The sequence below is a fragment of the Homo sapiens genome, chromosome 10, assembly GCF_000001405.40.
Source record: "Homo sapiens chromosome 10, GRCh38.p14 Primary Assembly".
NCBI lineage: Eukaryota > Metazoa > Chordata > Mammalia > Primates > Hominidae > Homo > Homo sapiens.
In genome coordinates, this window is record NC_000010.11 from 97,761,110 (window position 1) to 97,787,969 (window position 26,860).

Below are 26,860 nucleotides of genomic sequence, written 5' to 3' on the forward strand. Positions count from 1 at the left end.
GGAGAGGCTCAGCAAATGCTTGTCGGATTGACTTGAGGCCCAGTCTTGTGACCCAATTGTGAGGGCCCAGCACTGGGGGTTGGGGTTGGGACTAGAACTTGGTAAACCCCAAACAATGCAGGCTTTACAACGGAAAGATTTTAACTAATCCCTCTGAGAAAGCCAGAAAGGGTCAGCCTTCAGGGAGGCTGAGAGCAGCAGGAAAGAGGATTGGACATGAGATGGGAAGTGCAAGCCATGCCCTGAGCTGGGGCAGGTGGGTGGTGGGTGGCTGGGTGCTGGGCACTGGTGAGGGCTTTGCGTGCAGTATCTCATTTATTGCTCACAGCAACTCTGAGGTAGGCACTGTTCCCCTGAAGTAGGAGCAGAGTCCCTGCAGCAGTAGAGGGTGGTGCCTGGCGCCTGCTGTGGCCCACCTCCATGCTTGGACCCCTTTACCATCTGTTGGAGCGGTGCTGGGGCCCATTGGCATAGGGATGCTGCCCCCAGGCTCACTGTGCTTTCCTCCTCTGGAAAGTGCACCTGATGGTGATGCATAGCTTGTGCGGGTGCTGTGAGAGAAATGAGAGAGTCGACGGGAGGCATGGGGCCCGGTGCCTGGCATGCTGGACACGCTGGCTCCTGTCATCCTGGCCACCTTCAGAGGACAAACAGCTCTGTCCTGGGTGGCTTAGAACAGTGATTTATTTTTTTTAAACCAGAGTGTAATTTTAGATGATTCTTCAGAGAAGAGTATCAGAGAGGCACAAGTGTAGTTTGGAAAAGCAGTCAATGCATTTTATTTTTGGAAAATGAAAATGCCAAATGTTGGTGAAATCTCAACCATAACAGCAGTAACTTGAAGTCTGTGCCTGCAGGCATGGATTACAGAGATGGGAGAAGCATGAGTTTCCATCCTTGGGTAACAGCCTCCGAGAAGGGGATGCTAGAGGGCCTTGTCCCCTTGAGGTGCCCCTGAGAGTAGGCAGGGGACATAACTTTAAATTGCAGGTACCGCTGGGAAGCGAAGTCACGGAGGGATTGTGCTTCACAACTGGCTGCGTCCACAGCATGGAGAGGACCTGCACGTGGGTGGCCTACAAGACAAACTGTCCATGTTTGAAAAAAAAACCAATTTGTTCTCAGGCCCCTGAGGAGGGGATGGGGAACCAGACTGCTGCAGCCCTCGTGCCTGCTGGGGCAGGTCTGGGGCTCCAGCTCCCACAGCCTGGCGTGGGCTGAGGGCTCTGCCAATCCTTTTTGTGGTTGGTTGTGTTGAGCAGCCTCCCGTGAGCCATGGCCGACCTTGAGCTGGCAGTGGTTTCTGGGATCTTCAGGATTTTCAGCCCTCGGGGCTGAAGCCATATGAAGTTCTGTCTTCATCCCCTTGTCTCCCTGGAACCTTTGAGGCACCCCCTAAGAGAGGCCCTGGCCCAGCATCTGTCTTACAGCTGGTGGCCCTCAGGATAACACCTACATTGATGGAGCACCTGTGCCAGGCACCATGCTGAGTGCATCATCTCATCGAGACCTCATGACAATCTCCAAAAGTAGGTTCTGTTGTTAACTCTGTTTAACTGACGAGTAAAAGGAGGTGTGGGGAGGTTAGGGAACCTGCCCAAGGTCACATAGCTAGTAAGTCGTGGAGCCGGGATGTGAATTATGCCACATGAGCTTGCAGGGGCCTCATAAGAGAACCTTTGGAGGAACAGAGCAATCCTGGGTGCCACCCTCCCCCTCTTTCTGCCTGGCCCCCACTGGCTCCAGGAGCTAGCCACTGAGCTAACAAGAAGGCCTACCCACTAAGCATGGCCTCTCTCCTCTCCTCCCTCCCACCCCCAGCCCTAGCGAAATGGGCTCAGCCACAAGAACAGAGGCAGCCTTGTGGCCGGAGCTCCCCCAGCTCCCAGCAACCCCACCTCCGGCCTGGTCGGGTATGTTTCAACACCCCAGAGCAGCACATTCCATTCTCTGGCACAGCTGGGGGCTGGGGATTCCGGATTCCCCTGGCTGCCTGTGTTCTTCACAGCCCCAGCAGAGCCTGCTGTCTGGGCTGGGACATGGGGTCCCAGCCACACACATTCCAGCAGCAACCACCCCCCCATGTTACATTTCCCCAGGAGTGAACTTCAGCCAGGATTACAGGCGACTAAACAGTTGTGGGATGTGAGCTTCCTTTGTGGAGACCTAAGGCTGGATGCTGGCAGGGCTGAGAGGGGAGAAGGGGTTGGGGGTGGGCTGTCTTTGGGAATTAGGAGAAAAGCCACTGGCTCCTCTGCCTCTGTCAGGACCCTTGGAGTGGGATTGGAACAGGGCTCCCAGAAATCTTCCTGTGAGGCAGGCTGGCAGAAGCATGGCTGCCTGCACCCCTGAGCCTTGGCTTTGCCCCTACCGATAGTAGTATAGTGGTTAAGAGCATGAAGTCAAATTCTAGCACTGCCATGTGCAAGCTGTGTGACCTCCAACAAGTTCCTTAACCTCTTTGAGCCTCAGCCACCATCACTGAAATGCCACTACCTCAAATGGCTGTTGGGAGGCTTAAATTAGAATGCAAAAGCTGGGTGAGGCACAGTGGCTCATGCCTGTAATCCCAGCACTTTGGGAGGACAAGGAGGGAGGATTGCTTGTGTCCAGGAGTTTGAGAGCAGCCTGGGCAACATAATGAGACTTCAACTCTAAGAAAAATAAGAGATTAGCCGGGCATAGTGGCATGCTCCTGTGGTCCCAGCTACTTGGGAGGCTGAGGCAGTGGGATTGCTTGAGCCTGGCAGGTTGAGACTGCAGTGAGCCACGATTGTAATACTGTGTTTAGCCCAGGCAAAAAAAAAAAAAAAAAGAAAAAAAAAAAAGAAAAAAGAGAAAAGATCATATGCAAAAGTTTTGAGTAGTGCCTGCCACCCATCATGGCCTTGATATTTATTGATATTGGCTTGATACTGGCTTACACCACCACCTGTATTTCTGAAGCAAAACCCCAAATGTAGGTTCTAGCTCTCTTCTGAAAGTAGCGTTCTGGCTTTTAGATAAGATACTCTTGTCTTTTCCCTGCCTTCCTGCCGATATTGTTTCTTAGTTGATTAATCAATCAATTAGGAATTTTACTGAGCACCTATTATGGACAGGCACTGCTAGGTCATGGCTTTTGGTTAATAAAAATAGTCATTACCATTTAATGGACATCTACATGCTGTGCGTTGTACTTTTCATGCATTTTCCCACTTAACCCTCAGCAACCCTGTGAAATAGACATTTTTACTCCATTTTACAGCTGGGCACTATTCCCGATGTCACGCAGTCACTAAGTCACAGGATTAGAAGCCAGGACTGGACTGTATCTGCCTCTTCTCACCCCAACACGGAGTGTTCAGCTGCCTCCTCCCCTGTCTGTCCTGTTCTTTATTAGAACTCTGATTTTGTCCCCAGCTGAAAAAGCTTGACTTCCTTTGCTGTCTTGCACCTAGGGGTGGCCATGTGACTTAGTTTTGGCCAGTGAGCTAGAAGTGGAAATCTACTAGGTGGGATTGCTGGGGAAATTTCTGTTTTCCTGATCAAAGGGGCCAGAGGCAGCTGACAAGCTGTGCTCCTCGCCCTTCCCCGCCTTGCTGTCTGGAATGTGGTGGAGAAGTTGGAAGGAGGCATTGTCTATAACCACGAGAGCAAACGTCACCCCATGGCAGAGCAGGAAGGCAGTTGGACATAGACCTCCCACCTGTCCACCTCCACCCCTCTTGTGTGGAGAAGCTGGGGTTTCGGTTCCTGGGGTTTCTGTTATGTGTGGTTGGGGGCCGCATCGTTCACTGCACCCAGGTGCTCTTGGGGCAGCACAGCTGCTGGGTCTCCAGCCAGCGGGAGGGAGTCTTGTGTGACTGAAGGGAATGAAGGGTGGGGCTCAAGCCTGGAAGGACCTCCCTGGTCTTTGGGAAGATTCTTCTTGGTCCCAGAAAAGAGATTCTTGGCGAGTCTGACAGCAGATGTTGGGGGACAGCAGATGTTTCAAGCTGGGCCCTGACCCCTTGTGGGGGTAGAGGAGTGCCTTCCTGGGCTTCACGGGATGGGCTAAGGGAGTCCTCCCCTCGCCCTGCTGCCCCACAGCTGCCAGCATCTGGCAGAAGTCAGTGTAGTACTTCAGCCAGGGCAGACCCAGTCCTGTGTGTGCCATGGAAAATCATCCCTGGTCCTGGTTGACCACAGAAGTGTCCGTAAACATTTGGTCAGGGTAGGAGGCTGGGAGACAAGGCGCAGATTCAGGGAGCCAGGTGCACTGGGCAGGGTTTGGGCGCGGATGGGTGAGGGAGGAGCAAGGCGGCCTGTGCAGCTGTTGACCTGCGGCGAGGCCACCTGCCTGCCCGGGGTGATTTATGGGCGCGCTGTCGGACCACCTGCTAGCCAGACCTCAGGCGAATGTGCGCTCATGGCCCACAGAAGAACTCAGCCCCTGGCCCCTCTGGAGTCATTTCCCTGAGGTGACGTTCACCTCTGGGAGCGGAAGCCAAGGCTTTCCTCAGTTCCAGAGAATGAGGCTCCTTTGTCTTGGAGGAACACCAGGCCTTGACTGGACAGCATCCCAGCTTTACCCCCACCGGTGGGGAGAGCCCCTCAGGGGGTGCCCCTAGCCCCCTGCTCTAGGTACATCTGGCATCTGCTGACAGACCCCCCCAGGGAGCTCCTTCCTGGCACTGCCCTGTCCATAGTCTGCCCATTAGAGTGGGGGTGGCTTCTCGCCTCCCAAGCTGTCTCCCCTCCCTGTCCATCTACCTCAAGGCAGCAGCCCCCATCTGCTCTGAGCCCACTGGGGCACCCCCTCAGCCCCTTGCCCTCTCCCTGTCTCAGTTGTCACCTTATCTAGATAGTAGTTCTCAATCCTGGCTACACATCACCCCAGGGAGCATCTAAAAACACCAACTCCTGAACACCCTATAGAGATTCTGATTTAATTGCATTAGAGTAGGGTGCAGGATTCTATAAAAGCTCCCTAGATGATTCTAATGTTTATGTGTTCAAATGCAGATTCAGATACAGCAGGTCTGCATTTCTTTGTTGTTGTTGTTGAGTTAGGGTCTCACTGTGTTGCCCAGGCTGGTCTTGAACTCCTGGGCTTAAGGGATCCTCCCGCTTCAGCCTCCCAAGCTGCTGGAATTATGGGCATGAGCGACCGCACCCCCGGCCAGATGCTGTCTTTCTAACCAGCTCCCAGGTGATGCTCATGCTGCTGGACCAGGGACAGGTAAGGAGCAGTGCCCGCGGTGTGTGAAAGCCGAAGGGGAGGAGTGACACGTCTTCGGCCTCAGGCTTTTCACGATAGTTCCCTGTGGCCCCACCTTCTTGGACTCCTCTGATCAGGCCCTGACCTCCTCGGGGAGCTGCTGCAGGACCATGGGAGTCTTCTGACTGTGGGAGAAGCTGGGAACTTGGCACCTCCATTCCTCCTCAGGGACAAAAGAACGGCCATCTCCATCCCTCACTTAGCGGTCAGAATGACAGGGTGACCCTTGCTATGTACTACAAAAACACAGGCCTTGCTTTTCTTAGGCATTCCAAGGAGGTCTATGTGGCCAGGCCATGGGTTAAGATAAGGGCTTCTTTTTGAAGCTCCATTCTAAACCTCCCTCTCCCCCCACCTCTTGGGAACCAGCTGACAAAGAAACCACCTGGTCCAAACCAGTTATTGTTTTCTTTGATTTAATTAAAAAGTTAAAAAAATTAGAAAACCCAACCCTGCATGTATTGGTTGTCTAGTACCTATGGCCTCACAGCAGTAGCAATAACTTATTGGGATAAAAGGGAGAAGCAGAGGCTGAGGAATGAATCCCGGGAATCGAGCCGCGGGCGGACCAGAAGGGGGTCTATGCCGAGGCTGGGCTGGGCTTGCTCTCCAGTCTGGGGGGAGCTCTGGGCCTTGGGGCAGGGAAATGGGCAAGCTGGGGAAGGCAGGGGGTGTGGCTGGAGGCACTGAGACCCTAACTCCTTTCCTAAGGGGGGCTAGGATGACGCGTACAGGGGCGGTGGGGAGAACTTTCCCAAATAGCTTAGCCTAATATTGAGACTTCCCTCTTCAAGGTGAGGCCCCACCACCGACAGAGGGGAGCTGGAGCTGACACCACCTTCTACTCTGAAACCTCCGCCTCAGGGTGCCCTGAGCCCCTCCACCTTTCCCTTACCCTCTCCTCCCCTGCCTACTTTCTGAGACCCTGAGGTCTTCACCCAGATGAAGAAGCCCTGCTCCTGAGAGAGGAAGCCCAACATCCCAGGGACCCCAGGACCCCTGGGTCAAAAAGGACAGCCTGGGCTCCGTGCCCATCCCTTAGGCCTTGTGCCAGTAACAACATTCGTGAAAACACCCTCCAGTAGGGCCGGGTCAGCCTGGAAGTTGGGGCGGGGCCAGAGGGCAAGCAAGGCACAGCTGGCAGGGCAAGGAGGAGTGCCCTTCAGTGGGGCTCTGCCGCCCCGTAGAAGAAAGGGTAGTAGAGGGAGCAGGGGTAGGAGAACATGAATTTGACTGCAAACTTCATCTCCTTATTCTTCTTGTCCCAGCGGTAGACGGCCATGAGCAGCAGCTGTCCATCCACTTTGCGGCCCATGACCAGGAAGCTGCCCGCCAGGCTGTCCAGCTGTGGGCAGGGGCAGCCCGCGCCATTCTTCATGTGCAGCACCAGCCGCTTGGTGTCCTTGCGCTTCAGGGGGCCCGGCTTGAGCAGCTTCTTCTTTTTCTGGGCTCCAATCAGCTTCCGGTCCCCATTCTCTATCTTGATCTCCTTGATGCGCATTTTGACCACTGTGGGAAGAAAGGACAGGGGCAAGTTGGGAATGGTCAGATCTGTGTGGGATGCTGGTGGGCACAGAGTTGGTGTGTTCTGGACCTTCGGGCTGGGGGAGCCTGATGCCCTGCGGGGCTTGGAAGGGTGGAGCTCGTAGGGCACATTTTCATATTTATGAAGCACTTATCATGCTGCACTCTCAAGGACAGCATCACGTTTCATCCTCAAGGTACAGAAGAGGGGAATTGAGGGGTAGAGAGCTTGTGACCTGCGTGAATCGAGAGTCCAAGCCCTTCTGAGACACCAAAGGCAGGGTGGAGAGCTCTTGATGGAGCAGCATGTGGGGCTCCCCAGGGAGGGGATAAGGAGTGGATGGGACTGGGGCCGACTGCTTGGAAGGGGATCCTTGTGATGGAGGGAAGCTGGACTTCCTGATCTCTGGGGATGATTCCCACTGGGATTTCTGGCTGTGTGTGAGTGTATGGTATGGAGTATATATGGGGTGTGTATATGTGTGTGCATGCACACACGGTGAGTGTGGTTGGAACAGTGGTGGGCTGGCAAATATTTAACAGCCGGCTCTGTGGACAGGGAGCCCTGCTTTGCATTCATTGACATCCATGGGGTAAATACTCCCACCATAACTGACCGCATGACTGGGTGTGGAGCTGGGAATAGATACACACAGTTCAGCTGTTGCTGGTGTGAACACACCACTGTACAGTAATGTGTATGTGTGTGAGAGAGAGATTGTACGGTGGGTGGGAGTGTGTTTGTGCTATGTTTAGGAGTGGGGCAGGGGGTGTGGCTGGAGGCACTGAGACCCTAACTCCTTTCCTTTGGGGGGCTAGGATGAAGGCAGGGTCTGTGCCCAGAGAGCCATGGTGCAGGTCACCCTACAGTGGACGTAGAGAGCCTAAGGAGTCCTGGGCCTCAGGGTGGGGTGGGGAGTCCCTCGGGCTGGTCTCTCCCTTCTTCAGGCTTCTGGGCCCCCATCTCTGTGGGGCCAGGGAGAAGTCAGAGAATAACTGCCCACTCTTGGCAGGAAATTGTCATAAAATCTTGTTCCTTCTCTTTATGTCCCCTTCCCCCTCTCTTTCTCTCTCTGACACACACATACACCCCTTGCAATAGCAGTATTCTCTTTCCAAACAGGCTACCAACATAAAAGACTCCTCTGAAGAAAGGACTTCATTATCATCTCCTTTTTTCTTTTTTTATAGACAGGGAGGCTAAGACACAAAACAGGGAACTGACTTGGCAAAGATCACACACTGGACTGCGTGGCCCATGTGTGAGCCAGGTCCTGACCGGACTTGGCTGGATTGTCCCAGAAAATGGGAAGGCTCTGGGATGAAGCTGTGGGGACAGGTGACCACAGCTCCGCTGGCAGGAGGTGTGCTGAGTCCCAGGTGGAGGTACCCATGGACAAGGGTGCTCCACTTCCATCCTAGAGCCATCACTCCCCACCTGGCTCCATCCATCTCTGGGCTAAGCCTGCACTATCCACAGAGATGATCCAGTCATGGAGGGCCCTCTGAAAATGACACCAAGGGAGGGCTGTGGGAGCCCTGGCCGGGGTGGTTTCTGAGGCCCAAGGCCCATGGCCTTAGGGGACTTGTGATGGTCCTGAGATGATGCAGAAAGAGGTGCATTTCTCTTGGGAAAGGGTTTATGGTTATAATTGGCTTCTAAACGGGAGCCATGATGCAAAAACTGTTGGGATTCACTGTGATGGATGTGGGCATGTATGTTCCCGTGTGCGTCAAGAAAGAGGGGCTGGGGGTGATGTCGGGGCAGTGGCAGCGTGGGCCCCACACTCACCAAAGTCACTGGAGCACATCTGCTCCATGAGGCCGTCAGCACTGTGCTCCATCTCACACTGGGCGCAGATCTTGGTCACTGAAGAGAGAAAGTGGGGTGGGGTTGGGGGACAGTTGGTGAGGGGATTGGAGTTCCAAGAGCCACTTGGGGTGCAGGCTTCCTCACTGACCAGCCACTTCCCCTTGCCAAGCCTCTACTTCCTTATCAGGAGATGGGATGATGGCAATCATATCACTACCTGCTCACAGAGTGATTGACAATCACCAGACAGGCTGTGCAGTGACAAAACTGCCAGGTGGGCACAGTGACTGCCCCATGACCCTGGCGGCTGCAGCCATGATGTGCATTGTCTTTTAAATTTTATCTCCTCTCATCCTCAGCCTATGAAATAGGGATTCTTATTCCTATTTTATTTTTGAGATGTAGTCTCGCTCTGTCACCCAGGCTGGAGTGCAGTGGCTCTCTAATCTCAGCTTACTGCAACCTCTGCCTCCCAGGTTTAAGCGATTCTTCTGTCTCAGCCTCCCGAGTAGCTGAGATTACAGGCGTGTGCCACCACGCTCGGCTAATTTTTGTATTTTCAGTAGAGACGGGGTTTCACCATGTTGGCCAGGCTGGTCTAGAACTCCTGACCTCAAGTGATTCACCCACCTTGGCCTCCCAAAGTGCTGGGATTACAAGTGTGAACCACTGCGCCCAGCCCTTACTCCTATTTTGGAGAAAAGGGAACCGAGGCCCAGAGCGGTTACTCAAGTCTGACAGCAGACGGGGAGGAAGGGGGAGAGGGCATGGAGCCAGCCTGGAAGAGCTATGTGGACCAGCACAGAAAAGGGGAGGCTGAGACCAGGGAGAAATTAGGGTTCAGGGGACTGAGGGGTGGGTGGGAGGAGGGACTTAGGACCTCATAGGTTTCATGAGCCTGGGATGGCTTCCTATTTTATGGATGGGGAAACTGAGGCTCAGTGAAGTCAAGCAACTTGCCTAAGGGCTTCTCTTCAGGGGCAGAGCCTAATCTGCTCTTCCTTCCGCACTGAGCCTTACCCGAATGACTCCCAGCCAGGGGAACTGGGGAAGAGGGTGGAGATCTTAGGGTTCCAGGTACAGAAAACGGGGACGCAGATCATAGTCCAGAACATTCTTAGTCCCCAGTCTTTCTCCACATCCCTTCCCTCACCTCTCCTCTCTTCCCAAGGTCCCAACACGGAGTGGGGATGATGCTTGCTTTGGTGCCTCGGGATCCAGGTGAAAGGCATTGTTTAACGACCCCAGGCATTCTTGGGCTGAGAGGGGTCATAAGGCATTTATCAGGACGTCCCAGGATTGGGGGGACGGCATTGGGGGATTCTCAGCAGCTTGGTTGGATGGGTACTGAGAGGGGTGCCAGGGGTTTCCAGGGAACGAGAGCCAGAGGGAAGGTCTGGAGCCGCCGGGAGGCACTATGCTGCCACTCCCTGGGGAGGTGGGAAGGCGGGAAGGCTGCGGGGGATAATTCCGGGGACGCTGGGCTGAGCTAGGACAGCGTGTGTGTGTGTGTGTGGGCGGAGGGGGGGAGCTGCACCTCTTGGGGGGTTCGCAGAGCTGTGCTAGGGGAGCTGCAGGGCCGTCGGAGCGCGCGGGGACGGCGGCGGCGGCGCTACCTGGAGGCGCGGTGGCGGGCAGGTGCCCGAACTGCACGGCGATGCAGAGGTCGTTGTCCAGGGGGAACTTGTGGCAGTGCAGCATCTCAGGCCAGGGGAAGCCGTAGGCCTCCATGAGCGGCGCGCAGCCGGCGCGCACGGCCTCGCACAGCGAGCGGCACGGGTAGATGGGCCGGTCGAGACAGACGGGCGCAAAGAGCGAGCACAGGAAGACCTGCGTATCCGAGTGGCAGCGCTTGGCCAGCAGCGGCAGCCAGCTGCTCGCCTGCTGCTTCACTTCGGCCAGGCTCTCGTGCTCCAGCAGGTTGGGCAGCCGCATGCGCTTGTAGCCCACCGTGTGGCAGAGCGGCAGGTCGGCAGGGATGTCAAGGCACTGCGGCGGCTTGGAGTAGGAGCGGCCGTGCAGCGGCTCGGCCTGCCAGCCATAGTAGTCGTACTCCTCGCAGCGCGCCGGCGCCCAGTGCAGCGCCCCCAGCAGCAGCGCCAGCGCGGCCGTCCGCACGCCCCCCCCCGCCGCCGCCGCCCGCATGGCTGCGCCCTCTCCAGGTGCGCGCCGCGCAGCCCCCCGACGCTCGGTGCCCGGCGGCCCAGGTGTTCCGGCGTGCGCCCCCGGCCCTGACTCTACCCAGCCGCCGCCGCCGCCGCCGCGGAGGTCGCCCAGGTGGGTGGCAGCCTGCGCTGCGGGCGCCCCGACTGATCCTGGCGCCTCCCACCTCGGGGCTCCAGCCCGGGCCTCGCCGTGCGCCCCAGCCAATCTCCGGCCGCCTGGCCCCAGCTCCAAGGCGGGGAGGCAGTGGGGGCGGCCCTCAGCCCCTCCCGCACCCTGCCCGAGCGTCCCGCCCAGCGCCAGGTCTTGCGCCCCTCTCCCGGCTCGGCTCCCCTGCCGCAGCCCTGGCCTCGCCCAGCGTTTCTCCCCAGGGCTCCCTGCCTCCCTGGGCATTTTCCTCGACCCTCGCCTTCTCCATCCTTCCTCCTTATCTCTCTCCGCCACAGCCTCTCCTGTTCCTTTTCTCACTCACTTCACTTGCTTATCTCTCTGCCTTGGCTTTTCTCCCTCTGCTCTGTTTTCTCTTCCCCGACACCTCGGTTCCTCTTCTCCCTGGTGGGAGGCTCGTGCCACCCCACACCCTGGATCTTCTGGTCCTCCTGGCAGGTCTTCATTGAGCTTGGTGCCAGGCCCCATGCTGGCTGCTGGGGAATCAAAGATGGATATGACCCAGAACCCACCTCCAGGGCCAGGATAGTCTAGTGGGGGTGAAGGTAATCATAGCTTCTATTTAGTGAGCTCTTACTACCTGCCAGGGACGGTGCAAGGTGCAAGGTGCGGTGCAAGGTGCGGTGCAAGGTACGTTCCAAGCTTATCAGCTATTGCTAATGATAGCCAATACTTAGTGGGTGCTAATTGTGTGCCAAGTCTGATCTGAGCACATTGCATAAACTCCCTCAGCTAATTCTCACAATAAGGCTAGATGGTGGGTAGGTACTATTATTGTCCCCACCTTACAGATAAAGATCCTGCGGCAGAGAGGTTAAGCACAGATTAGAGCTGGGATTTGAACCCAGATAGTCTTTTTCGAGAGTCAGAGCCCAGAAACAACCAGGAGGCCTGGATTCTGAGTCTGTAGGCCTAATGACCAAGGGGATAGGGAGTTCAGAGAAGTGGAGTAACTGGCCCTTGGCCACACAGCTCATATGTGAAGGAGCTAGGATTTGAATCCAGATGTTGGGCTACAAAGGCCAGGGCTTAACCACTCTGTGGTAAGATAACTTCCAACCCATGGTAGGGAACACAGTGGGAAGAGGGGGAATTGATGGTGTGTCTGAGCAGGGCACCCAGGCAAGCATCAGAGGGGAGGGGACCTTCAGGAGCCCCATGCTTGGTGTCTTTCTCTCCTGTCTGAGTCCTGCCTTTCATTGGCTCTCCCTTGAGAGGAATTTGGACTGGAGGCTTGAAGGGAGGGGAATTCCTTCCTGAGAGCCTAGCCTGACACCTGACCTCCCAGTCTTTGGTGGGGAGGGTACCTTGGGGAGGTGTCTCCTAGGAGGGCGTGGGGAGCTGGGGGCTGGCTCTGCTGGAAGGCAGGAGTACTGGGCACTTTCCCCCTCTGCTCCTCCCCTTAGTCCCACTAATGGATGTTTCCAGGGCTCCTGTCTTCCTCTGGGTCTGTCCTTGCAGTGGTAGTGGAGAGGGGTGAGGGGCCACTCCTTAATATTCACAGAAAATGCATAGAGTACCTACTATCTGCAAGGCATGGGGTAGGGTATGCATGGGGACACAGAGGTGCAAAAGACATGGCTCTGTTCCTTCTGATCTAGTTGTAAGAAAAAGATACAAGGCAGGCAGAGGAGGCAGGAGAAGCCTCATCTCACTGAGCCCCAAGGGTGGGACAAGCCGTGTTTGATGTCCAGGATGACCTAGTGGGGTCCAGGTAGAGTAAACTTTGGCCTTCTTTTCCCCTCTCCCTCTCCCAGCCCCCAGCATGAAGAGGTTATGCAGATGGCCACTCAGAAGGTGAAGGACTGGTCTCTGCAGGGCCAGGCAGTGCAGTGTAGCAATGGTGCGAGAGCCTGGGCTCTGCAGACGATGGAGCCAGGTTCAGATCCTGGCCACATATTAGCTGTATGACCTTGGGCAAGTACTTAACCTCATTTCCTTCTTTGTAAAATGGAATTTCTTCAGCAGTTACTGTGAGAAGCAAATAAGGTGAATGGAAAGAAAGCCCCCTGCACAGTGCCAACACACAGAATGAACACCTAGGAATGTTAGATCCCCAAGGGACGTGTGACTTTGAGGTAAAAATGTGCTGTATGGGCTGGGTGCAGTTGTTCTCGCCCGTAAATCCCAGCACTTTGGGAGGCTGAGGTGAGAGGATCGCTTGAGCCCTGGAGTTTGAGACCAGCCTGGGCAACACAGCAAGACTCCATCTCTACAAAAATTAGAAAAGTTAACTGGGTATGGTGGCATGCGCCTGCAATCCCAGCTACTCTGGAGGCTGAGGTGGGAGAACTGCTTGAGTTCAGGAGTTCGAGGTTACAGTGAGCTGTGATTGCACCATTGCACTCCAGCCTGGGCAACAGAGCAAGACCCTGTCTCTTAAAAAAAGAAAGTGGTGGCTGGGCATGGTGGCTCATGCCTGTAATCCCAGCACTTTGGGAGGCCGAGGTGGGCAGATCACCTGAGGTCAGGAGTTTGAGACCAGCCTGGCCAACATGGTGAAATCCTGTCTCTACTAAAAATACAAAACTTAGCCGGGCGTGGTGGTGCGTGCCTGTAATCCCAGCTACTCAGGAGGCTGAGGCAGGAAAATTGCTTGAACCCAGGAGGAGGAGGTTGCAGTGAGCTGAGATCATGCCACTGCACTCCAGCCTGGGAGACAGAGCAAGACTCCGTCTCAAAAAAAAAAAAAAAAAAAGAAAGAAAGTGGTGTGTGTTCTGAAAGCCCTTGGATGCCTTGGTTCTGGCTCTGGTTTGGGGCTCTGAACAGCAGTTCTGCCCCTGCACCCTGACTCTCCCACCCCTCCAGGCTTGGCAGGCTCCTGCCCTCCAGGGAAGGTATGGCCTTGGGCACTGACGGTGTGTTAGAGCCTCCCAGGTGGTTGTGCAAAGTGCTGCCTCCTTGGGCAGCTGGTCGGCTGTGCTGTTCTTGGCGTCCCAGTACCTGGCCTGGACAGAGCAGGGCTTTGTTTCTACTGGTGGTTATGTAAGAACTGCGCATGATCAGAGAGCTGTGAGTCCACACCTGACAGCTCCGAGGGCTGTAACGGGCAGAGGGGACTGGCTGAAAGCCTCCTGGAAGAGGAGCATGGACACTCTTTACCTGGCAGCTCTGTCGTGGGGACCCCCGGGGGCCCCTGACACGGGACAGGGTGAATGCAAGGAGGGAAACTTGACAGGAACCAAGCCGAGGTGAGGGCTGCACCATGGGGCTGTTGTCAGGGGAGCTCTCTCTCTGTGGCCATTTGACCTGGTTCTGCAGCCTGGGCAGGAGAAGGCTGCTCTCTGATGTAGTGCCCCTTCTTGCTGAGGCCGAACCAGGGCCTAAGCAGCAGGTGGAACACCTGGGCACTGTGCCGGGCATCTGTCCATCTTGGAGCATCCACAGCCTGTCCAGACCTTTCCCCCAGCTGATAAAGGGGACCATTTGTTCAAAAAAATGTGTATTCGTAGTTTGTTGTGAGCAAAGTTCTATATAAATACCTCTTAGATCAAACTTGCTAATTATGTTATCAAATTCTACATTTTTTCACTCTTTTATTGTCTATTTCAATGGTTCTCAAAGTATGGTCAGTGTTCCCCAGGGGGACCCCGAGACTCTTTCCGGAGGGGTATACAGGGTCAAAACTGTACATAATTCAAATGCCCATTCAAGGTACAAGATAGTCCAATGGATTTTAAGGTAATTGGGTAAGAGAAGCTTATTGATATGGTTTCAGATTCTGCATTACATTTAAGAAACTACACATGTCAGGCCAGGCGCGGTGGCTCATGCCTGTATTCCCAGCACTTTGGGAGACCGAGGTGGGTGGGTTGCTTGAGCCCAGGAGTTTTGAGACCAGCCTGGGCAACATGGTGAGACTCTGTTTCTACTAAAAATACAAAAAAATATCCAGGCATGGTGGTGTGTGCCTGTGGTCCCAGCTATTCAGGAGCCTGAGGTGGGAGGATCGACACTTGAGTGGGGGTTGGGGAGTGGGGTTTGTTGAGGGGAGGCAGTGGAGGTTGCAGTGAGCCAAGATCACGCCACTGCACTCCAGCCTGGGTGACAGAGCGACACCCTGTCTCAAGAAAAAAAAAAAGAAAGAAACTACACATGTCAGTCTTTGGGGTAGTATCAAAGAAGCATACTCACAATTAACTGAAAAGGCCATCAAAATACTCCTCCCTTTTCCAACTACATTTATGTGTGAGGCCAAATTTTCTTCATATACTTCAACCAAAACAACATATGGCAACAGACTGAATGCGGAAGCATATATGAGAATCTGCTGGCTTCTGTTAAGCCAGACATTAAAGAGATTTGCAAAAATGTAAAACAATGTCACTCTTCTCACTAAAATTATTTTTTGTTTTGAAAAATACAATTATTTTTCATAAAAATTTATATTAACATATAAACATTTATTATTTTAAAGCATTAATGCATTTAACTTTTTCCTCATTATTAATTCCAAATATGGTGAATAATGATAGGTATAAACCCACGTAAACAAAATCTCTTTGGGATTCTCAATTTTTTTCTTTTTTGAGAAGGAGTCTCGCTCTGTCACCCAGGCTGGAGTGTAGTGGCGCAGTCTCAGCTCACTGCAACCTCTGCCTCCTGGGTTCAAGTGATTCTCCCACTTCAGCCTCCCGAGTAGCTGGGATTACAGGTGCATGCCACCATGTCCGGCTAATTTTTGTATTTTTAGTAGAGACAGGATTTCACCATGTTGGTTGGCCAGGCTGGTCTCAAACTCCTGACCTCAGGTGATCCACCCACCTCAGCCTCCCAAACTGCTGGGATTACAGGTGTGAGCCACCGTGCCCAGCCTGGGGTCTCAATTTTTAAGAGTGCAAGGAGGTTCTGAGACCAAAATGTTTGAGAACTGCTGGGCTACTTAATCTGTGCATTTCTGATAGAGGTGTATGAAATCTATTGTGCATATGGGTTTGGCAATTTTTCCTTTTTTTAAAATCAATTTTTGCTTTATATACCTTAATGCTATGTTGTCAGGTGTATAAAAGCTTCATGATTATTATAGCTTCTGGTTGAATTGTAACTTCTATCTGTATGAAATATCCTTTTTTGTTTCTTTTAATGCCTTAGGCCTTAAGAATAATGATTTCATGAACCAACACTTAAATAGAACCTGCTATGGGCCAGGTATGGATGTGAAAGAGACTTGGTCCTTGTTGGTGTGGAGTACACAGGCACGGGAAGGCAGCGTATGTGGTGCGGCAGGCATAGTCTAGGCTTTGGAGTCAGACTGACCTGTGCTGAATTCTGAGCACTTCCTAGTGGTGTGTCCTTGGGCCTGTGTATGTTGGACCTTGAACCTCAGTTTCTTTATCTGTAAAATAGAGTTAATAGCATCTATGTACTGGTAGTGCTGGTTGCTGAAGGCTTCCTGAGATAATGAGTGACAGCAGCACCCTGCAGAGTGCCCTGTGTAGTAGCTCTGTGGTCAGTGCTGCAGCAGATCCGCCAGCCAGGAGATCTGCCCTGTTTATGCCTCCTGACAAGGCCCCCAGGAGAGGCAGTGTGGGGCAGTGGGGAGTACACCAAGCTGGGATTCAAAAGATCCTGAGTTACACCTTTTTAATTTACTAGCAAAAGTAATTTAATTACCTTTTAATTTACTGAGACCCTGAGTCTCAGTTGCCTCATCTGTGCGGTGGCGGGGACCACATTGCCCTGCATTCTCTGTGGGTTTATCTTGAGGATCCAGTGAGATAATGGAAGGGGCTTGGGATGATGATGGAGGTGGGGCTGAGGAATGGAAGGAGGCCCCCAGGTTCGCTGTTGCCTCCCCTGTCCCGGGCTATGAGGAGGCCTTGCCAGGACAGGCTTGCTTGGGCCCCCAGGAGGGCTGGGATGACTGAAGTGGTAAGACAGGGTCTTGTCATTATTTCAGACTCCTGGAATTGTCTGCCTTTTTTTTTTTTTCCTTTTTGAGATGGAGTTTCGCTATGTTACCAGACTGGAGTGCAGTGACTCGATCTCGGCTCACCGCAACCTCTGCCTCCTGGGTTCAAGCGATCCTCCTGCCTCAGCCTCCTGAGTAGCTGGGACTACAGGCGCGTGCCACCACGCCCAACTAATTTTTGTATTTTTAGTAGAGACGGGGTTTCACCATGTTGGCCAGGATGGTCTTGATCTCTTGACCTCATGATCCGCCCACCTCGGCCTCCCGAAGTGCTGGGATTACAGGTGTGAGCCACCGCGCCCGGCCAGTTGTCTGCCTTTTACAATCCCAGTGCTCCTCTGCTAGGGTGGTGTCTTCATAGCAGCTGCCATTAAGTGCCCATTAAAAAACTGGGGTGAGTGGTCTAATTAATGAAACTATCAGTGCTGGCAGGCACCTACTGTCCCCAGGCATCACCCTCCTGGTCCCCCACCATTTTCTATAAAAGGAAACTAAAAATTGGCCTTCCTGAGCCCGCAGTCTAGAGCTCTTCCTACCATACCTCCAGTTGTTTTACTTTCCTGCATTTTAGCTTTTGTCGGTTGCAAAGTCTGTCCCAGAGGCCCCCAGCTGTGCAGGGCCTCCCTGCTGAGCAGCCTGTGCTCTGGTTGGCAGTTCAGGCAGGCCTGCTCAGCATCGCTGGGTAGGCTGGTTACAGAGGGGCTTGAGCGAGACTTACTGGCAACTGAATCAACTGACGAGGGGGGCCAGCCTCGGTCCTCCCTTCCATGAGCCTAGCCACTGAGAGGCTCTCCGACTTGTCCTGATCTCACATGGCTTGAGGAACAAAAGCAGAGGCGAGGCTTCTCTTGGGCCTGGGGGCTGAGTCCAGCTCAAAGTGTGCCCGTCTGAAGCATGAAGGCAGGTGGGATGGGATGAGCACTGCTGGCATTCTCTAGTTGGGGCTATGGATGGAGAGAAGGCTGAATACTGCTCTCCTCTTCTGCCTGGGTTCCCAGCGCACCTGGAGTCCCTGGGCTGTGGCCAGTTGGCAACACTGGTTAGAAGCACATTGGAGAGGCTGTCTAATGTTTTGGTTAAGAGCGTGAACTCTGGGGCCAGACTGGGTTCTGATTTTAGCAATGCCACATGACCTTGGGCAAGTTATTTAACCTCTTTGTGCTCCAGTTTCCTCATCTGTAAAATGGGGATATTAATAACAATAATTTCTTAGAGAATTGTTGAGGTTAGAGTTAATTTTAAAAATTGTTTAGGACAGTGAACAGTAAGCACTGTATAATTGTTAGTTAATATTATTGAATGTGGGCATGACAGTGGTCTTTAGAGACCATCGCCAAATCCTGTAGCTCTTCACTCCCAGTTTCTCTGATATCCCCCAGCATTCTCCCTCCTTTTGCTCTCCGCACATCCTCCCTGCTCCCTCTGCAGTCTCAGTTTTCCACTCTGCAAGAGCCAACAAGATCATTTCAAACTGCAAACCTGATGGTCTCACCCTTCAGCTCAAGCCCCTCAGTGGCTCTTACTGTTCTTCGGGTAAAGTTCTTACCCAGGCTCTGGGTAAAGCTCTTACCCAAGGCCAGGTCCCCTTGCTGGGCACTGTCTGGAAGCGTGAAGCTCCCTTTGCATATATAATGACACTGGTCATTATATAACTGTGTTTATTTTATCAACGTCCTGGCTTCTCACTGGACTGAGAGATCCACAAGGGTATGCCCTCATCTTGTTCATCTCAGTTGCTCCCAGACCCCTGTCAATCACATAATGGGTGCTCCATAAATGTGTGGTGAATGAATGACTGAACGGATGGATGAATAGTTGGTGGGAGGAAGTAGTAGAAGGAAGGAATCTTTGGAGCCAGATGGGCTCAGGCGGGAGCCCAGAACCTTTTTCAGGACCTGTTGGAGTTCTTGAGAGGCCCAAGGAAGATCAGGAAAATTCTAGCAGGGAGCTGGTGAGGACCGAGTGGAGTGGAGTGATACGTCAGTTGCGGTGCTTGCTGCCGACTGGGGAGTGATGGACATGCTCCCTAAGTGTGGGTCGACCTCTCTTTCTCCTTCCTTTCATGAATACTTGTTTAGGGCCTCCTAGGTGCTTGGTATTATGTTCCCTGCTCTCCCGTATATTATTTCATTTCATCATCCGGATAGTACTGTGAGGGAGGCATTATTATCCCCATGTTATATGAGAAAATTGAGGTTCAGAGAGGGTCAGCAACTTGCCCAGAGTCACACAGCCAAGAAGCAGCAGAGTCAGGACTTGAACCCAGGACTTCCTCCTGTGGATATGAGAAGTGACTGGGGGTAATGCCACTCTGTTGAACACTGACCCAAACTGGCATGCTGGGGAAGGCAGCCCTAGGGGAGCAGACCCTTCCATGATAATCAAGTCACCGAGGTTGCAGCAGGTTTGACCCAGTTGGCTGGGTTGTTGCCTTTAGGGAGCTCACAGTCTAGAGGTAGAGGGGGAGCCAGCTGATATACAAATACGCAAATAGCTTATCATTGCAACTAGGGTGACTTCCTGGGAGATGGGTGGAGAGGCGCCCCAGGGCCTGCTCTTTGTGGGAGCTGGAAAGAGCACCAGATGCAGAGTGAGAGCTGCCTATGCCTATTAGGCTTTGCCTCTACCACTTCTGGGCTGTGGGAACTCAGGCACATGAATCCCTGTGCCTCAGTTTCCTCATCTGCAAAACAGGGACAGGAAGAACTTCTTTGTAGATTTTTTTGGAAGATTAAATGAGAGGTACTTGAAAGTGCTTAAAACTGCTAGTGTTAAGTATTCAAAGGGTTTTGTACAATCACAAGAGGTGGGCGGCATGGCCCCCCCACCGCTTTGCCTTGGCTATGGCTATGTGGGGCCCTTGGGACCCCAGATTTATAAAATGTTGCAGCTGAAAGCTCTCCTATATTCTCCTGACCACCCAGGGGCTGTGAAGGCGGTACTAAAGGTTCATAAATGATTCTCCATGTTTCCCCAAATCAACACAGAAGGGTTCATTTGCTGTAAACAAAACAGCAGACTTCTTTGCTTTTGGCTGAATTACAGCTCTCAGGATGGAACTCCTCTCATGCTGAACAGAAGTCGGCTGGCAGTCCCTGCATCTCTGATTAATATAAAAAACAGAGGCTGGGAGGGGGAACTGACTTGCTGGCACGGGACAATAGGTCAGAGAGGCTTCAGGCTACTTTGTGCTGGGCGCCAGGGGAGGAAGTGAGGAACCCCCAGGGAGGACCCTGGGGGCAGGATTGTGGAGGGGAAATCCAGGGCAGGAGTGTTAGGGGTGGGGGCAGGAGTGACAGGGAATCCTGGGCAGACAATGGCCTCCTTAAGGAGAGGGTGAGGGTGTGGAGAAGCGGCATGGCCACAGCTAGTGAGGGTGAGGAAGTAGCGGACTGAGGCTCTTCCCCCTAACCCCAGCCAATGGAGCAATTGTCCTCTGCTGGGAGGGAGCTGGGCCTGGGCCTGGGAACAGCTGGATGCCTGCCCTTAGGGCCACCGAGGTGGTCCTGGCCTCCTTGCCTGGTCCCAGAATAGCTCCTCTGTGCAGGCTGCTGATCCTTCAGGCCCCAGTAGGGGTTACCCAGTCCTACTTCTTCCAGTTGGCAGTTTGGGGTATGGATGCCCACCCAAGGCTCTCTGAAGAGGGGCCCCCACTTCCCTTCTGCCCACTTCTGGGAAACCTGAGCCCTGTTTAGGCTGGTCGCTGAGGCCAGGGCTCAGCCCACTTCCTGGAGCTGTCTGTTTCCAGCTCTACCCTGCTGCCCTGTGGCCGGCTGGCTTGGCTTTTGGGTCTCAGCTGCTTTACCTGTAAAGTGAGAGAGTTGAGCTATGAACAGCAGTGCCTCTCCCCCAGTGGATAGCCTGTCCGGCCTGGGGTGGGGCATGGGCTCAGTCCTCAGGACCCCTGGGGCTGGCACTCAGGGGAAGGGCCAGGGCTGCTAACTTCCTGCTGGGTTCAGCACAGCCCTACAGGATCAAGAACTGCCATGCCCCAAGAGCCGATAGAGCCCCTGTTGAGATGCACTGCTAGATCGATGCTTTTCACTCTTGTTGTTTTTAGGGTAGCGCCATCCTGTTTTCAAACGATGTGGCTTGTGGGAACTCGACAGATAAAACAGATGAAAGGGGCAAGTATGGTTAGGGCTGGTGGGGGGCCCAGTGGGAACCCTCCCTAGGCCCTCAGCCGGGCCTCTCTGCAGCTGGCTGTGCCCTGTGTGCGCGGTTCTGGGTGTTCTGTTCTGATTGATGGGGCATCTGCTGAAACTGGCAATGTCCGTGCTGTACCGGTTGTTACTCCTTACCCTGGCACATGCCGCAGGGTTTTGTCTTTTTGTTTAATCTAAGAGATAGGATGGGCAGACAGGGTTTGGAGATTAACTTCCTGTGGCTGTGAATTGTCCTTGGTCTCCTGGGCCAAGGCTTGACCAGGCTGGCTGAGACCAGGCTGCTGACATGGGCACACCCCCCAGCCAGGAGAGGAGAGGGGTTCCCAAACTTTATATTGCAAAGCAATCACTATAGAAGCTGATTAAAGTATATATTTAGATTGCGGGGCCACTGCACATATTCCAGTTCAACACCTGTGACTCCCAGGCAATTTTGAGGCAGTGGGCTGCAGACCAGGATGGGAAGTGCTAGCCTCCCAGGGGGCTGTGCCTGCTCCTTGTTCCACCGCTGCCTCCCCCTGCCCCAGCCGGCCACAGCCTCCCTCCAGGGCCCTGCTAGTGGGCCTCCTTCAGGCTGAAATGAGAACTCTTTCCTTCTGGAAGCTGCACACAACCTGGCATCCCCTCCACAGTCCTTTTCCCTGTCCCCCTCTGTGTGGGGTAAGTAGTTGGGTTCACAGCCACCTTATCTGCTCCAGCGCCCAGCTCAGGGCTATGATTAATGATGGTGTCGGCAGACATTAGTGTGCCCAGGCCCTAGGCTAAGTGCCTTATCATCTCATTTAAACCTCTTGACAATGCTACGAGAGACGGGTGTTATTATTATCACCCTCCCCCACTCCATTTACAGATGAGAACTCAGAGGTGATTGAGTAACTTGCCCAAGGTCACAGAATGGGGAGTCTCCCAGGTAGATCTGACTCGACTTCACACATGCTGGGTACTGGGAGGGCAGCCAGCCCTGGCCTCTGTCTGGGTTTTCATAATCACCCTTCAATGAGTCTGGCATGGTACTATTATTACTATTTTGAGTCAAGGTCTCACTCTGTCGCCCAGGCTGGAGTGCAGCAGCACGATCACAGCTCACTATAGCTTTGAGCTCCGGGGTTCAAGTGATCCTCCTGCCTCAGCCTTCCAAGTAGCTGGCACAACAAGCACACGCCACCATGCCCTGCTAAGTTTTCCTATTTTTTGTAGAGACGAGGTCTCACTATGTTGTCCAGGTTGGTCTCCAGTTCCTGGGCTCAAGTAATCCTCCTGCCTTGACCCCCCAAAGCATGGGGATTTCAGGCGTAAGCCACTGTGCCTGGCCATTAGTATTATTATTAATGAGGACTTGAGGTTTTTTTTTTTTTTTAAATAGAGACTGGTCTCCCCATGTTGCCTAGGCTGGTCTCGAATTCCTGGGCTCAAGGGATCCTCCCACCTCAGCCTTCCAAGGTGCTGGGATTACGGGTGTGATTCACCATGCCGGGCTGTTATTATTGTTATTATTATTATTATTATTATTATTATTATTGAGACCAAGTCTCACTCTGTTGCCTAGGCTGGAGTGCAGTGGCATGATCTTGGCTCACTGCAACTTCCGCCTCCTGGGTTCAAGCGATTCTTGTGCCTCAGCCTCCTGAGTAGCTGGGACTACAGGCGTGAGCCACCACACCCGGCTAATTTTTATAGTTTTAGTTGAGACGGGGTTTCACCATGTTGGCCACGCTGGTCTCAAATTCCTGACCTCAGATGATCCACCCGCCTTGGCCTCCCAAAGTGCTAGGATTACAGGTGTGAGCCACCACGCCCAGCCTGTTAGTATTATTATTAATGAGGACTTGAGTCTTAAGACTTCCCAGAGGTTGGTGCTTAAGGAAAGATCCCATGGGAACAGCGGCTGAGAATTGCTGGGGTCCTGGGGAGGAAGGCTCATTACGGTGTGTTTGGGAGTCACATCTGTGACCTTGTTTCTTCCTTATGACAACTTAGGGAGGCATGCATGGACAGTCCTTATTTTACAGATGAGGAAACTGAGGCTCAGAGAGGTTAAGTTCACTTACTCAAGGTCTCTCTGCCAGTAAGTGATGGAGCCCAAGTTGAACAAAGTCCTGACTCTGCGGAGATGCCATGCTTTTCTTATTGCCCCATGAATTAAGATTGGGCCAAAATCAGAGAAATGGAAAAGGCCTGAGATTTGTCCCCTACCAACCCACCCTGGAGGGCTCTGAAGCCAGCTCAAGGTCTGCTGGAGACAAAGAGGTCCATGCCCTGTTGACCTAGTTATGTGGCGAGGCAACTCGGGGTCAGGGAAAGGTGCATTCTTTCCCTTCAACTTGTATTACCCAGCTTCTGGCTTCCTGGAATTTTTGTTAATATTCCAAATCACTTGGTAATAAGTTCTCTTCCCCACGGTTTTTGCAAACAGGAACCGAGCACCCTTCAACTAGAAGAACACACACTTTCACACCCTTTTCTCCTTTAAACTGGTGCCAGGGCCCTGTTAGGAGAAAGGAGCTCTGGATAAGAAACCAAGAGGCGAGGTGTGGCAGAGGAACCAGAAGGCCTGAGAGGAGTTTGGTGACAACATCCTGGGCCCAGGCCCATGTCGCAGGAGGCAGAAGGGACCGTGGACTTGATGCCTAAAGACCCAGTGTGAGTCCCTGGCCTGCCATTCCCTGTCCTCCTCGGGGCTGCACTTCCCCTCCCTGGGTCCCAATTTCCCTCTTAAAGGAAAATAGGCCGGGCATGGTGGCTCACACCTGTAATCCTAGCACTTTGGGAGGCCGAAGCAGGTGGATCACCTGAGGTCCAGAGTTCAAGACCAGCCTGGTCAACATGGTGAAACCCTGTCTCTACTAAAAATACAAAAAATTAGCCGGGCGTGGTGGTGGGCGCCTGTAATCCCAGCTACTTGGGAGACTGAGGCAGGAGAATCCCTTGAACCCGGCGGAGCAGGGGGAGGAGATTGCAGTGAGCCGAGATCACGCCACTTCAGTCCAGCCTGGGCGAAAGAGTGAAACTCCATCTCAAAAAAAAAAAAAAAAGAAAAGAATACCCTCCTGGTGAGAGGATCAGGTGAGAAAATACATGTGAAGAGGCTGTACCCTTGTAATTATTTGGTTACGTGGAGGTCAAGTTTGCCTAGCAGTGTTGTTTAGCAGGATCTCTGCAATGACAGAGGGCTTCTACCTCCGTGCTCTCCAGTTCGGTAGCCACGCATGGCTGCTGAGCACTTGAAATGTGGCTAGTGCTACTGAGAAACTGAATTTTAAACTTTTCAATTAAAAACAGGTTTTTTTAGGGACAAGGTCTTGTTCTGTTGCCTAGGATGGAATGCAGTGGTGCAATCATGGCTCACTGTAACCTTGAACTCCTGGGCTCAAGCAATCCTCCTGCCTTAGCCTTCCCAGTTGCTGGGACTGCAGGTACGCACCATCATGCCCAGGTAATTATTATTATTATTATTTTTCGTAGAGATGGGGTTTCCCTATATTGCCCAGGCTAGTCTCCAACTCCTGGCCTCAAGGCATCTGCCTGCCTTGGCTTTCTGAAGTGCTGGGATTACAGGTGTAAGCTATCTCGCCTGGCCCTCTGAATTTTAAATTTAATTTTGTTTTAGTGAGGTGAAATTCACACAACATAAAAATAATTAAATAAAGTGAAACATCCGGTGGCATTTAGTACATTCATAATGTTATGCAACCGTCACTTGTATCTAGTTCTAAAATATTTCTTGTCACCCTTGAAAGAAGCTCTGTGCACATTAAACAGTCGTTCCCTATTCCCCCTTCCCCCCAGCCGCTGGCAGCCACCGTGATACCTTCTAGGCATCTGCCTGTTCTGACATTTCATACCTGCGGAAGCCTACAGTACGGGACTTTCTGTACCTGGCTTCTTTCACTTATGTTTCCGAGCCTCATCCGTGTTGTGGCATGTGTCATTACCACATTCCTTTTTGATGATGGAATAATATTCATTTTAGTTAATTTTAATTCATTTAAATTTAAATAATCACAAGCAGCTGCTGCCTACTGTATTGGACAACCAGGAACCTTTGGTATCCTTCTGGGCAAGTGAGGGAGCAGGGCCCCCACATACCTGCTGGCACCTGAGAGAGAACCCCATGGGAGAGGAGAAGGAGCCGGAGAATGAAAAGACTGAGATGGGCATCCCAGGTTCCCCAAAGGAGCCCAAAGCTTGGCCACTGACCGACATGCATCTGGCATGTTCTGGGGCCTCATGAGGCTGGGCACTGGGCTGTGTGTGTTGCGGATGTCAACTCACTGTGTCCTCACAGCAGCCCTTTGGTGTAGGTCTGTCCTACCATCATCCCTGTGTGACACAGCGGGACTGAGTGATGAAGTATAATAGCTTGCTCCGTCCGGGTCACATAGCTGGTTATTGGAAAGAGACGGCTCTAGGAACCTGTGGTCCCTTCACGAGTCCATGACCTTCACTGCTAGGCTACATAGTCTATTCAGCCTGATTCTGGGGCTGCCCAGTAAAGGCCAATCAAGGACCCTAGCTACATACACACACATTGCACACCTCGAGGCAGGGCTGTCTACTCCATCTCATGCTGGCCTTTCTGAGCTTGGACTGCCTGGGACACGGGGGCCTCTTTGGGTCAGGAAGGGGTGGCCGATGGGACACCTTGGAGCAGGACGAGGGAGTAGCCTCCATCAATTCCCTATTGTTTAATCAATGAGTAACCTGGCCGTTCGGGGCTCCTGGTGCCTGCTGTAGGCCCCCCACTATTCATTGATCTGGGAAGGAGACTTGGTTAATTGCCCACCCAAAGTAAACAGGGCTGGGATAACCGAGGCTGACAGCAGAGAGTTTTCCTTGGCTGTGCTGCCCTTTGCCCTTTGGGAAGGGGCAAAAGAGAGCGAAGGGGAAGGGCCGTTCTTGGAATGTCTTTGGAATGAGGGAGGGAAGACTGGCTTCTTGGGGTCCCAAAGACTCAATCTGTCTGTCCTTCTGGAAATTAAGTCCTCTGCCAGGCTTTATTGTGCCTTGCGAAAGGGATGGGAGCTGGGGCCGGCAAGACTCTCACGTATCTCTCTTCATGCCCCCTTTGTCCATCTGTCCATCTCTTCATCCCTCCCTTTTGACATCCTTCCCTCCTTTCTTTCTTCCACTCACTCATTCTCCCCTTTCATCCATTTGTCCCCTCCCCTCATTTAATTCACCCAGGCTGGAGTGCAGTGGTGCAATCATGGCTCGCTGCAGCCTCTATGTCCTGGGCTCAAGTGATCCTCCCACCTCAGCCTCCTGAGTAGCTGGGACTACAGGTGTGCACGGCTACGCCTGGCTAATTTTTTTTAGTTTTTGTAGAGACAGGGTTTCATCACGTTGCTCGGGCTGGTCTTGAACTCTTGGGCTCAAGGGATACCCCCACCTCCATGTCCTAAAGTGCTGGGATTACAGGCGTGAGCCACCATGCCCAGCCCATTCTTCCCTTATTCTGCTCATCTGTCTGAAAGTTCATCCCCCACCTTGTTCCCTCCATCCTTTTTGCCCCTCTCCCCCAACACACATTTTTTTTTTATCTTCCTTTCCCTCATGCAGCAAGCACAGGCTTCTTGAGAAAGCCAGGGAAGAGGTGGGTGGGAGTCCTGTGGGCTCTTCCCGTGGGGGCCAAGCCCAGCCATGGGGTTCTGAGTCTGGGCCCCCACGTAGCCCTGGCAGAGTTAATTGCCTGGCTTCAGACATGCAGGCCACTCACTCAGGTTAGATGGAGCCTCATTGTCCCTGGAAGGAGAAAACTTGTTCCTTCAACATAGGGACCATGTCAGTTTTTGTCCAAATGGGGACGCTTTGGAGAGTGGAAAGGGTTCTCTTGACAATAGGAGTTACCACACCCAGGCAAGGGGAGTAGCCT

At 53.1% G+C, this 26,860-nt stretch overlaps 1 protein-coding gene across 1 annotated transcript, besides 2 other annotated features; it reads right to left on the reverse strand.

Annotated features, from left to right (window-relative positions):
• Positions 3,343-3,637: an enhancer, noted in NCBI's record as "tiled region #10521; HepG2 Activating DNase matched - State 5:Enh". NCBI's record gives its function as "activates a minimal TATA promoter and a strong SV40 promoter by Sharpr-MPRA in HepG2 cells {active_cell/tissue: HepG2}" and the evidence as "EXISTENCE:reporter gene assay evidence [ECO:0000049][PMID:27701403]".
• SFRP5 (secreted frizzled related protein 5) lies at positions 5,642-10,890 on the reverse strand. The gene is made up of 3 exons (NM_003015.3): positions 10,196-10,890; positions 8,559-8,636; positions 5,642-6,751 (listed from the first exon to the last, which is right to left on the reverse strand). Exons 1-3 carry the CDS (start codon positions 10,722-10,724, stop codon positions 6,405-6,407), a joined length of 954 nt encoding a protein of 317 aa, NP_003006.2. The 5' UTR covers positions 10,725-10,890; the 3' UTR covers positions 5,642-6,404.
• Positions 13,723-14,017: an enhancer, noted in NCBI's record as "tiled region #10024; HepG2 Activating DNase matched - State 4:PromP, and K562 Activating non-DNase unmatched - State 7:EnhWF". NCBI's record gives its function as "activates a minimal TATA promoter and a strong SV40 promoter by Sharpr-MPRA in HepG2 cells, with weaker activation in K562 cells {active_cell/tissue: HepG2 | K562}" and the evidence as "EXISTENCE:reporter gene assay evidence [ECO:0000049][PMID:27701403]".